Source organism: Homo sapiens, chromosome 1, assembly GCF_000001405.40.
Source record: "Homo sapiens chromosome 1, GRCh38.p14 Primary Assembly".
Lineage (NCBI taxonomy): Eukaryota > Metazoa > Chordata > Mammalia > Primates > Hominidae > Homo > Homo sapiens.
Window position 1 is genome coordinate 210,523,391 of NC_000001.11, and position 13,629 is coordinate 210,537,019.

General features: G+C 43.0%; 1 protein-coding gene across 18 annotated transcripts in view, besides 1 other annotated feature; it reads left to right on the forward strand.

The window, feature by feature from the left end:
- The window catches only part of HHAT (hedgehog acyltransferase), a 348,963-nt gene that overhangs the window by 196,063 nt on the left and 139,271 nt on the right, over positions 1–13,629 (forward strand). The gene's annotated exons all lie outside the window — the stretch shown is intronic.
- Positions 12,915–13,209: a silencer, noted in NCBI's record as "tiled region #9170; K562 Repressive non-DNase unmatched - State 24:Quies". NCBI's record gives its function as "represses a minimal TATA promoter and a strong SV40 promoter by Sharpr-MPRA in K562 cells {active_cell/tissue: K562}" and the evidence as "EXISTENCE:reporter gene assay evidence [ECO:0000049][PMID:27701403]".

Genomic DNA, 13,629 nt, shown 5'->3' on the forward strand with positions numbered 1-13,629 from the left:
GTGCAGCCTTCCTCTCTCTACCTCGATAACACTGCCTCCCAAGCCTCCTGGATCCTGGGAATCTTCCTGGATGCTTTAGATCCCCAAGCTCTACTTCTGGGGATTGGGCTAAGTGGATTTGGGTAGAGTCCAGGAATCAGTATAATTGTGAATCACTCCCAGTGACTCTGATGCTCAGGGGACTTTGGGACCCCTGCTTTAAATATAGCTTGTGTGTGTGTGTGCGCGCGCACACGTGCGCATGTGTGTTGCAGCCCCCTCCCAGGTAGTGAGCAGGGTCTGACTCATCTGGATCTTCTGCGTAGTACCCCACAACGTCTAATGTCTAGAGGGCTCCTAAACATGTTTAGATAAACTTTATTTTCAAAAATGTAAAAGGACTTAGTAACCGTCTAATTTTCTTTTCATTTAACCCATTTATTTTTATACCAAATTAAGTGCCCTAAGTACTATTCTAGGTGCCAGGATCAAAGCAGTAACAAGATAGACAATGTTCCTGCCCTCTCTTAGCTCACATCCCAGTGAGTAAATGAGAAAACAAGTAAGCAGTGTGTGATGACATGCGTGAGCATGGAGGACATTAGCTAAATGAAATCAGATGCTCACAGAAGAACGAGAACTGCATGAATCCACTTTTATGAGGTATCTAAAATAAACTCATGGAAGCAAAAACAAAAATGGAATGATGGTTGCCAGGGGGTGGGGGAAGGGAGAGTTGTTAATCGGGTATAAAGTTTCAGGTAGGCAAGATGCATAAGCTCTGGAGATCCACTGTACAGCGTGTGCCTGTAGTTATCAGTACTGTATGGTGTACTTAAAAACCTGTTAACAGGTTAGATCTCACATTAAGTGTTTCTACAATAAAATTTTTTTAAATGGAAGAACAAAAAGAACCCAAGTAAGCAAGCACTGTCATTCCCTTGATGTGATGGAGGGTGCAGGTGTGAGTGCCGTGTTTGAAGGGCTGGGCAGGAAGGCCCTTTTTAAGGCAGCGGGCAACACAGAGATGAGTGAGGAGGAAGGAGTCACCAGGGAAAGGGCGAGGGCTGGACTGTTCAAGCCAGAGGGAAGTGCAAGCCCCCGCCCCTGAGTTGCAAAGGAACATGCTTGAGGAACAGAAGGGGAGCCTGGGGCTGGCCAGTAGAGGAGCAAGGAGTCCCTCCCTGAGGCTGGAGGAAGAGGGAACAGCCAGACTGTGATGAAGATTGGGCTCCATTTTGAATGTGATAGGAGCACTTGAAGGGTTTTAAGTAGGGGAGTGACAGGATCTGATTTACATTTTCAAAAGTCACTCTGACAGACTTAGGTGGGAATCTAGAGAAATTGGGATTTTTGAACCTCAACCATGACTGTGCTTCTGCACCATGAACTGGAGCCTGCAGGTCCAGGTCTGTCCTGCTACTCGGGGGTTTCTCAAACAGACAGCTGTTGTAAAAGCTTCTCTGTGTTGAGCAACAATAGACCTAAAATACCTCTTAATTTCTTTCTGCTTGCCTGGTGTGTTCTAAAATATGTAATTATGCATGTGAACATTAACTTGGAGGCAGTTAAGTGAGGGTGGGTTGTGGCAGTAGGCTCTCTCCAGAAGCATGGGCAGCTGAGTGGAGTTGGGGTCAGGGCTAGGAAATGTACTTGGGATAGAGGTTTGCAGTTTTCCCAGGGTGACAAGTACCCATCTTGTCTTCTGGCCACTCAGCAAACCAGGGCTTTGGCTCCTTCACTGGTTCATCTCTCTTGCTTGGCCATTAGTTAGTGAGGTCTCTGAAGGCCTAGTTCTTAGCCCTCAGCACCCTTGCGTTGATGCCCATTCCCCTTGGATGTCAGCCCCTCTTAGGACACAGAGACCCTCTAAATCCACAAGGCTGGCTCATTCTCTGGGGCTGCCAGTGAAATCTGTCACATAATGTGTTGGTGAGTCCTCCCATTTCTTGTCAAAAATTAAATCCCCTTCCAGGCTTTCCCCATCACAGTCATGTCAATGTCCGAGACAACATTCCTCATCCTCCAGATGCAAACACTTGGGGTGCTTTGGAGTCCTTTGCTTATGTTCACAGAATGTTAGAATGGAAGGGCCTTGACGATTATGTTCCACATTTCACTAATATTTCATTTTTAGAAGATTTCTCAGATTCACTCCTCACCCTGATCTTGCTGTTACCACTTTTGAGGAAAAACTTGTTAGAATTATTTGTCTTCCTAGCTGTGCTATATTTGAATTTATTAATGAGACAATCCAGATTTAAAAAGAAAAAACTAAGAGAAACTCTCAATACTTGAGAATTGAGATGCATAATTTAGTTCCCACCATATATAGCTTTATCAATACAGATGTTCCTGTGAATAAATGTATCTTTTAAAAAAAATTAAAAAGAGCCCCTGGTGACTTACTCAGGATATTTGCAATGTAGAGACATAGTTTTAAATGTAAAAAGCTCTGAGTCAGCGATGTTGCTTAGAAAGATGGGCTGTGAGATCCATGGTCTTAGGCCACTGCAGATGGGTTATTTACTTGACAGGCCATTTGTTAAGTGTTGTCGCTGCCTTCTTTTGAATTCTTTTCCTAATGCGTGCGCGATCTTTCTGCCTTATGCGGTTGCTGCATCTGGTAGAAGCCATAAATGTTTTTTTCTTCCTTGCAGGAAGAGTCTCAGATCCCTCGTGCCTGAGATTAGATTCCAAAGAAAATGGGAGGTGGGAAGAGGTGGGACCTGGAATGCATTCTGGTGAGCGTGGTAGTGGTGACACCGAGCTTGGAGGGGCAGAGGTTCTGGGGTGGAGTCCTACGCGCAGCACTGGAGACGGGGAGCCCCTTTCCCTGAGTCCAGTGGCAGACATGGTTGAGTCCCCACTGGAGCAGTGGTGGTGTAATTTGTCAACAGTTCCTGACTGCAACACCTCTGAGCCTGGCTCTCAGGCCCTGTCAGAGATTGTGCAAACTGCCTAACCTTCCTTAATAAACTAACCAGAGTGGGTTCTGTTTTTTTTTTTGCCACTGAGATAACTAATATACTTACCTGATGGACATTGGAGATACCTAGCTCAACAGGGGGAGCGCATGATCTTTAGTTAGCTTTGCCTATGAGCTGCGTCAGTTCCACAAACCAGAATTAAACAAAATTAGAGCTATTTTTGCATCAGTAACAGAAGCAGCCTGTGGAATGGAAAAGGCATTGGATCAGATGCAGAAGACCAACACTCTAGACTGCCGTACCTCTCTTGCTGCAGTGGTTTTGTGTGAGTCGCTTCTGTTTGGGCCTTAGTTTTCTTATTTGTGAGATGAGAGAATTATACCAGATAAACTCTAAGGTCTCTTCCAATCTCAACAGCCTCTGCTAAGCAGCCTTGCTGTTTCTAATATTAGAGAGCAGCTTCTGTTGTCTAGATATGTGCCAGCCAATACAGTAGCTATTAATCACTCATGGCTATTTAAATTTAAACTACTGAAATTCCATAAAACTACTGTGATGTGATATAATATGAAATATATATTTGGTCTCTGCCTCCCAGTTTCCAGCACAGAGCTCCTAAAACACTTAGATGGGGACACTAGGATAATATTTTGTCCTGATACTTGATCTTTGACCCCAGTTCCTGATGCAGAGTTCTTAAATCCCTCGGAATTTCCTGAGTGATCAGAGGATCTTTTGTTCTAATGAGACAACTCTTGGTGGGCTTTTGGATAGCATCAGGATGGGGGCTGGGTGCCAGGGTAACCAACCATTTGATAAGAGGATTGGAACTTTTAGCCCCACCCTTATCACCACCTTCCAAGAATGAAGAGGCTCCTTCATTCTCTTCTTTCCTTTAGTGCATGTGTCTAGGCTGGCTCAGCACCCAGCTCAGACTCCCCTGGAAGCGTCAGGTGCTCCCTTGCAGCATGCTGTGTGGTCTCTCGTGGTTTTTCAGCTCAGGCTCCCATGGCTGATTGCCTGGGTTTGTGTGCTGGATGCATTACTCTTGACCATGTGACCAGCTTAACAGCTTCATGCTTCACTTTCCTTATCTGTAAAATGAAGATTAATAGTAATACCTATTTCACAGGAGGTTTTCGAGGACCAAATAACATAGTACACTTACAGTGCTTAGGATAGTGCTCAGCAGTAATACAATGGCTGTTAGCCATCACCATTATCAGCATCATAAATTTCCTGGCTATCTTGTCATTCTTTGGGATCTTAGCAGACTGAGTGGCAACACCTTTAAAAAAATAAATAAATAAGGGAAATGAGTGATTCTGCTTTTGCTTAAGGTTTGGCGATTCACAAGCTCCCTGAGGGCCAGAATCGTGGGGCTTGCTTTCTACTGCAATTTCCTTTGAGCACGTGACAGAGGATGGTGCGCCAACAGGGTGGCCCTAATGAGTGGAGTTGCCATAGGCCAAACCCAGGCCATCTCTAGTGTGTACTAGCCATGTGACTTTATTAGCAAATATTTAATAGCACTGCTTCAGTTTCCCCATCTGTGAAATGGAGACATTGTCACCTTTGAGAGAAAAGTCAGATACTTTGAAACTCTGAGTTATGTCAAGCAAATAAATAAACAAATGGGTGAAGTCAATCACTCTAAACGCATGAACCCATTCATTTGTACATCAGATGATTTTTAGCATCTACCATGGGCAAGAAACCCTACTTGTTCTTGGAACACAGCAGTGAGCAAAAAGACATGCAATTCCTACCGTCTGGGAGCTTATTATGCTTTAGGAGCAGAGAGGTGTTCATCAGGTGATCATATGCATATCTGCCTAAGTATAACAACCAGTAATGCCGAGAGAGAGAGACACATGGTCCTACAAGTGTGTGTCACAATGCACCAGACCCAGGGGTGGTGCAGGGGCTGGTCATGGGGAAGGTTCTCCCAAGATCTTTGGGGTGGAAGGTGGAGGGAAAAGCATATCAAACCCCTGTGGTAGAAGGAGCAGGGTGCATCATAGGAGGAAAAAGAGAAAGAAGGTTCTTGTGTTCCGGGCGCTAAGAGTGATGGGCACAGTGAGGCTGGTAGATTGTCCATGGCTGGGCCATGTAAGGCCTTGAATGCCATTTTAAAGATCAAAGTCAGTTTTAGGTGCTAAGCAATAGCCTGGAAATGAATGACTAAGGAGTTTCCTGGGGAAATGTAACAGTAGCTAAAAATTATGTATACAAATGTATCCTAGCATGTCTAAAGTTCTCATTCAGATGATGTAATTAACATATTGAAGGGAGAAACTTTCACTAGCAAATGCATAGTATAGCCTATTAATTAATATGCTAAAGTGGAAGGATCTGTTGTGAGGAATATTATCACTAATCTGTTACCAATCATAATACCAATGTTTGCAATGATGTACATTTTTATATTAATTAGGGTAGATTTGTTTGCATTCAGATACCCTTTCCTGAAAGAGAAAAATGTGATAGTACCATCAGGGATCTGGAAATCGGGCATACCCTGCCGTCTGTAGAAATCTGTGATGCACCTATGTCCTGGTTTATCAGCAAGTCAAAATCCCCACGTGCTCATACGAATTATTACCCCCTGGGATACCATCCATTGATAAGTGCAGCCTTGGAACCTTGGGGATAGTTTCAAATGTTGATCAACATATAAGATCAAATTTTGTTAGAAAATGGGTGCCGGGTGTGGTGGCTAAGGCTGGGCGTGGTGGCTCACGCTGGTAATCCCAGCACTTCGGGAGGCCAAGGCAGGCAGATCACCTGAGGTCAGGAGTTCGAGACCAGCCTAGCCAAGATAGTGAAACCCCATTTCTACTGAAAAAACAAAAATTAGCCAGGTATGGTGGCACACGCCTGTAATCCCAGCTACTTGGGAGGTTGAGGCACGAGAATTGCTTGAATCCAGGAGGTAGAGGTTGCAGTGAGCAGAGATTCTGCCACTGCACTCCAGCCTGGGCAACAGAACGAGACTTCATCTCAAAAAAAACAAAGGAAAAAAAAAAAAAAAGAAAACGGGGATATTTGTTGTTAAGCTGATGTACATCAGACAGAACACTGAATTAAGCAAGCTATGAGAAGCGGGGATATCAACGTGGTACTGAGAGATCAGTGTTTATTGTGACTTGTGTAAAATTTAATCCCTACTCTAGCTATGTGGTACCTTTTGAACATTCTTCTGGCTTTTAGGGAATTTCTAGCCTTACGTACTCTGCCTCCTCAAAGTACAAGTCAAAAAGTCACTCTCTGGGCCTCCCTTGCAGCTACTACCCCAGTGTATCCCAGGCCCAGCTTCTCAGGGACATCAAAGGGGTAACTGGGATTCAGAAGAGCATCGTGGGAATGACAGGGCCTCCCACAGAACTGTTTCCAGCAAGGATGGCAGAGAGACATGCAGCTTTCCCTGCAGCATAAACAGGGTTCTGCACCACAGGCGTCTGCTGTACATGCCACAGTGCTGCCAGCGGTGTCACCAGAAGCGGAGTGAACTGGAGGGGCCTCAGGGAGCAATGGTCTCCCAGCCTGATTTGCTGGCCCACTCAGGTATTCTGTGAGTACATGTCCTTTAATAAATTCCTTTTCTGCTTAGTTAGAGTCTGTTGTTTGCAACTAAAAACTAAGTTATGTATCAGACTGTATAAATAAGCATGGTAAAGGCAGTAATTCATTCTGTTCTCACAGCGACTCGGTGTTGAAGAGGGACCACGTGAGTCTTGAGGTAACTGGATAAAGTTTAATCCTTTGGTTGTGCTGCCAGTTCAAATGTTTCTGCTATGATGCAGGGTATACAAACTTGGAAAAGCTCAGGTTATGTAAAATTGCACACAAAAATCATAGGATTTATGGGAAAAATAGAGTTGAGTAAATGACTCAAAACCTATGCAACTTTGTCCAGAGCACCAAGAAAAACAGTAACCGTCCCAATAAGGATCTTAGCACATTTGAAATGTCATGTTGAATTCCTAGGAAATACATATTCTAGTAAATACATATCAGCCTTTACCTTAAAAGGTGAGGGTAACATGAGTAAAGGGGTATAAACAAGGGTTGGGGCTGTCAGGGCTCATTTGCTATGAATCATAATATTAATACCAATGTTTGCAATAATGTGCATATTTGCATTAATTAGAGGAGATTCATTTGCATTCAAATACCCTTTCCTGAATGAGAAAAATGGGTGACAGTACCGGCAGGGACTTGGAAATCAGGCATAACCTGCAGCCTGTGGGAATGAGGAGTACTGAATAAGGAGTTATTAACGGAGCAACGTGTTCTGGAGACAAAGGCCGGGAGAGATGGAGAAAAGCATTTGCAGACTTTGCACGGACTTGAGTGATGTCTGAGATAGATGGCTCTGGATCCTTGTTCTGGGTTGTTCTTTTACACAAGAGCCTAGGAGAACTGGGTGGGCCCTATGTGCTTCTAAGACAGCATGTTGACCGAACTAAGCCAATAGGAAAAAGAGGCAGGATTAATGGGTATCTGGTACAATAATCTAGTCAATTCTTTTAGTGAATTCTCTGTTCAGATGCTCAAAGTATTGACAGGCTAAGAAAAAAAAAATGCATATAAACAGTCACAATTTCTGTTTTATAAGGATATTATTTTCCTGTTTACCAATTAGTCATATCAATTAACAACAAGGATACATTCTGAGAAATGCATTGTTAGGCAATTTCATCATTGTGCAACATCGTAGAGTGTACTTCCACATACCTATATGGTATAGCCTACTGCACACATAGGCTTTATGGTGGAGCCTCTTGCTCCTAGACTACAAACCTGTGTACTGTGTTACTGTACTGAATACTACAGGCAGTTGTAATATGATGTAGGTACTCATCTATCTAAACATAGAAGAGGTACAGTAAAAATACAGTATTATAATCTTATGAGACCACTATCATATATGCAGTCTGTTGTTGACTGAATCATTATGTAATGCATGACTGTACATATGAACTATGGTAATTAAAGTGTGAGTGTGTGTTATAGAACAGTCTGTATTTGAAAGTGCTGTGTAAACCTGAAAAGCTGGTGGACCTCTGGCCTGTAAATAAAGGGACTGTGGGTTTCAGATAGTCTCTAACATTGTTGAAGAGGACGAGGAAGAAGAGGAACCCAGGCAGAGGACTGGAATCTCTTGTCAATACAGGCTGCAGAGAGGTGGAATAGCTTAACAGTTAGAAGTGTAAGTTGTGGAATTAAACCACCTGGGTTTGAATCCCTACTCTACTGCATACTAAGTCTGAGCCTCGGTTTTTTCATTTGTAAGTTGGAAATGATAAATTTGCTAATGTATGTAAAATACTTAGGACAGTTCCCTAAGTTGTTATCTCTTATCTGTCCATCAGTCCACAATACCATCTGTTTCAAGGCTAAGGAGAGAAAACCCATATGAAAATGCCTCTCACAGGGTCTAAAACTTAGTAGGCACTCAGTACATATTTGTGGAATTTGAATCTGATAAGAAATATCGACATAACTGTAACTAACAGTGTTTCTTTTCCTGTCACCAAGTCTATGTGAAAAGGCTTGCTTAGTGGCAAGGGTGGGATAATCTTTTTTGACAAGACAGATAGAAGAGCATTTTCTACACCAACAGGTGATGATTCCTGGGTACTTGCAAGCAACATGTGATCCCAGGGGGAAGGTCCGACCTTCAAAATGTATGTGGACTAGAAAGAAAGAGCAGCCTGGTTTCAGCTGTGAAAAGGCCATTTAAAATAAAAACACTTTAGAAGCTGAAAGCCCATAGCATCTGTTTCTAATTGAAAGGTTATTTGCAGACAATGTGTTTTTCATAGAGTGACATTTATATGTGTTTATTAATATACTGAGTCTATTACAGTGAAATCCATTTTGGAAATGGAAATAGATTTTTGAACATTTTAATCAATTTTTAAGCAAAATAATGAACTGGAAAACATTTAGCTGAGAAAGTGCATCTGATTACACAGGCCAATTTTTCAGTTGTAATAAAATGCAGATATGTATTGTTTCTCCCTGTGCTACTGAGAGGAGGTTCCTTATTTTATCTCTGGACTCGATAACATTTTTCACTTTCATCTGATGCTTCAGAGGCCCAAGATTCCAGTCCTGGCTTTTCCATTTATTTCATGGCCTTAGGAAAGTCACTTCCCATTTCTGGACATCAGCTACTCATTGGTAAAAACACCTTATGATTTAAAAGGTCTCTTCTAGCCCTAAACTTATATAACTGTAGAATTCTGTGACTTGACTAAAGCAGGCAAATTCCTATAAGCAACTGAGCAATCCAAGAACCATGACATTCTCCAGACCCCATATTGGAGTTTTAGATACTGGATTTTATGTTTCCGTCGGCACCATGTGCAGAGCTCCTACCATATGCAGGATACTCTTAAGGCCAGTGATGAGATAGAAAGGTAAGCAACTACCTGAGTTTTCTGTGGTCTTGTTGGAGAGGGAAAACAAACATTTATGACATAATTAGAATGATTAAACCAGTTAGAAATGCCAGAGCACAAACCTTTGATAATTGTAGAATACGAAAGGAAGAAAGAGTCCTAGGGGGCAATGTGGAGAAAGGGACACATTCTTAAGGACAATATTTATAATGGAAAAATGAGGCTTGGGTTCATATTCTATTTACTGAGCCAAATCTGCACTACCTATTTTCTTTCCATGTAGGTTTTCTGGAATATACCCTAGTTGAGTCTTGCTCTCTCACTAGATTTGTGAGCATCTTGGAAGCCTCTCCTTGTTTTTCGGTGTGAAATCCCTGTGGCATCTAGCATGGCACTTTGTTCAATATAAATGTCTTGAATGGTGGAACACCCCTGATCCTCACCTTCCAGCCCTATCATTGCTCACTGGCACCTGAATTTGGATATGGCCAGGAGTGATAAGTGGGTGAGATGGAGGTGAATGGCACAGAAAAGCTGGCTCGTTTGTTGGTAGCTCTGCTGTTTTAGAAGTACAGATGGCAGCTGGCTGCTTCAGAAGACAGCATCTTTGGGGACTGTCAACTCCAAGGGAAATGGGGCTCGTTTGTTGGTAGCTCTGCTGTTTTAGAAGTACAGATGGCAGCTGGCTGCTTCAGAAGACAGCATCTTTGGGGACTGTCAACTCCAAGGGAAATGGGTATGCCTGAGAAAACTGCATCCCCAGATGCTGCTCTTGGGCTTATGTCTGGAGATGGTCTTTTCATGACTAAATATGTTTGTAATCACCTCTGAGACTCACAGACAACCTGCAGCTTTCTGTCTGTAAGAGCTTCTCCATCCTATCCTTGATGCATCTTGCTGGAACAGGCAGGAGAGTGGCAGCATTTGTATATGGTGCACCCACAGGTGTATTTTCAGAGGGAAAAAATCAAGCTATGTCATCATTGCTTTAAATTGGGGATCTTTAAATGGGTTCTGTAGTCCTGCCAAGGAAGCTACTGGTTAAACTGAGATTTAGGGATTTCCAATGATTTTGATCTTCCTGGCTTTCTCTCTAATAAAGAAATCAAAGATTGATAATTTAGTCTTACAAACTTTTAAAAGTTTCTGAGAAATCAATCCTGACTCCAAGAACAAAAAAGGCCCGGCTTGAATGAGTTTGTGCTGGCACCTGGCGGCTTGGTGATGCAGAATACTCACGGGTCCCCAAACTCACTGTGGAAGATGGCGTTAGGCAGGAGGCTGGAAGAGAACATGGATGGGGAGCCAGTGGGGGAAATGAGGAGTCTCAGGCTACTGTATAGAGTGGAAGGACATCTTTCCATACTGGCTAGCTGCCATGCACTGGGGTAATTGTACCTTCCCGCCCCCCACCGCCCCACCAAGTGTTCTCCTAGGTGCTGTTCTGGGCACTGCTGAGCAGGCACCTATGGTCTGTGAGGGGCATCCATTCTTTTCCTGGCTCTGATGGCTCACGTGGAGCCTGTCGAGTTTTCTTTTCAAACTTGATACTGTGTCACTGCACTGCTACCATGGTGGATTTGTACACTCCTGTTATATTTAACTTTGGCTACCTGAGGATGTGGGAGATGATTATTCACACTACACGGTGTAAAGATTTATACATATTTTTTTCCATAGGGTTTTGTTACATTTTGTTTATTTCATTAATGCTTTTTTTTATATAACAATCCCACCCACGTCCTGTACATGTACAGAAATACAGGTGGAGTACCCCTTATCTGAAATGCTTGGGACTAGAAGTGTTGAATTTTAATTTTTTTCAGAATTTGGAATATTTGCATATACATAATGAGATGTCTAGGGGATGGTACTGAAGTCTAAACATGAAATTCATTTATGTTTAATGTATACCTTATATACATAGCCTGAAGGTAATTTTATACCATATTTTAAATAATTTTGTGCACGAAACAGTGTTGACTGCATTTGGACAGTGGCCTGACACATGAGACCACATGTGGCATTTTCTACTTGTGGCATCATCACAGAGCTCAAACGTTTCAAATTTTAGAGTTTTGAATTGTGGATTTTCTGTAATAGAATTCCCAGAGAAAGGTCAAATATATAGGGTCTAGATTTACCCATCACATTAGTGCTAAGATACCTATAGAATTGTACCTCCTGTGTCTAACTTTCTGGCCTTCAACAAGGACCTTCTGGATTGGGTTGATCTCTCTTTGCCTTCAATGGGAGTACTGCTAGCAGGATGCACTGCTGAAGTCACTCCTTGTTAGAGGGTTGGCTTTGCATCCACATTTTCTTAACCAGGCTTCCTGACCAGCCTCTGCTTTTTGTAGAATTGTTTAGCTATGTTGAGCACCAGGGAGGAGCACAGAGGCCTCTCTGGGGCAAAGACAATGAATCCCAGCCCTGAGGAAGGCCACTGTTATGCATGGAGCTCTGGGTTATAGGACCTCCATTGCCAGCACTACTTCAACCTGGCCATGTGAACATGCCCATATCAGGCTCCAGTTCCTCATTTGCCAAATAGAAGACAGTGACTACGTAACAGGGTTTTGTGTAGATTGGGTTAGATGATTTATGTGGAAGAACTTGGTGGTACTGTACAGTATTGTAAGGTTGATTACTAGCCTGTTGCTCTAACCTAATGAGTTGTAATACTGTGGGGGAAGGGGACTGGGAAACATTGTGTGTTTGTGTGTGTGTGTGTGTGTGTGTGGGGTAAAATAATATAAATAATCTGTCTTTCATAGTTGATGATTCTCTGGACATTGGCTAGAATCCCTTTGGATGGGGGAGAAAGATCAGTAGGAGGGGGTAGACCAGTCCGCTTGGTGTGCAAACAGCTCTGTTCACACATCAGATGTCAGATTGGCTTGGCCTTTTATGACAGAAGCTACTTTGAGCGACACTCTTGCTGGTGTGTGTTTGTGTGTGTGTGCATGCGTGCATGCATGCGTGCATCCCTTCTTGTGCTGTATCTGCATAGAAAATATAGCAAAGGTTTTGATTGAAAATTTGGAGGTGGGGAAGACTCTGTGAATAGCACATCAACAAATAAACACACCCATGAAATAAACAGTGTTCCAAACCAAACCCACTACAACACAAACATGCAAATATGCTAAAAGCTGTGTAACCAATAGCATGGCCCCTTTAGCTCTGAATTACAGAGCCTGGAAGAGCAGCTTGCGGATGCTCAAGATTCCAGTAATTATTCAACTAGCAGCCAGCTCCATAACTCTCAGCTGCTCCTGGGGAGATTAGGGCATATGCATATCGAGTCCAGCTCCGAGCTGTCACTGGCCATTAGAGTGCTAATGACCAACTGATTTGGCTGCCTCAATGTGGTGGAATTCCTTTTGAAAGTATTTTCTTTTTAATTGGGGAAAATACGTTTAGAGCTTTAGTAAGTACCTCATCACTGAAGCCACTGCCGTAAAATATATAAATAGCCTATGTGAAAGTTCTGGGACATTTGTATGAATTTAGCCCATTCTAGCACACAGAATTTTACCATCCTTCATCCACCTAACCTGGAGTCTCTGATGCCTGTTGTTCCCTGAGGGCTCATAGCTACTGCTGGTATTTTGAGAATGAGTTTCAGAGCATCTTTTCAGTACTGAACTTTCTTTGTCTGAACAGAATGCAGCCAGTTCCCTACAGTTTCCTGCTGGGGAACCCAGCTGTCTGCTGTTTTCATGTGTGTCCAGCCCAGGCATGCTGGGCTCAGCACCACATTACTGCTTGTGGACTGAAGACTTTACAGCCTCTGCCTGTTAGTGATTGTATCTCTCCTCTGCTGTATCATTTACAGTGGAGGTGGAAGAACAATATGGGAGAATCTGTCTTTTCTTGAGTTGGAGAAGGATTTATGTCTCCTAATCAGCAGAAAGTTAATGTAACTGGGGCATTCAGATAATGAATAGGGTGCTAATACAGGTGATCAGGGGCAGTAGCAAAGACACCCCTCAGATAATTCCCCCATGGGGCTTCTGTTTGAGTTGGACCTTTGCCATACAGCAGGATTTGGCGATGTTGGCACTGTTGACATTTTGGACTCGTTAATTCTTTGTTGTGGGAGCTCTCCTGTGTACTTAGATGTTTAACAGCGTCTCGGGCCTCTGTCTGCTAAATGTCAGTAGCATCCCCCAGAAATGACAATAAAAAATATCACCAGATAGTGCCAACTAGCCCTGGGGTGTGGAGAGAGAGGGGAATTGCACTTGGTTGAAACCACTGTTAAAGATAAAATGTCATGTCGGGTTTTGAACTGTACCTAA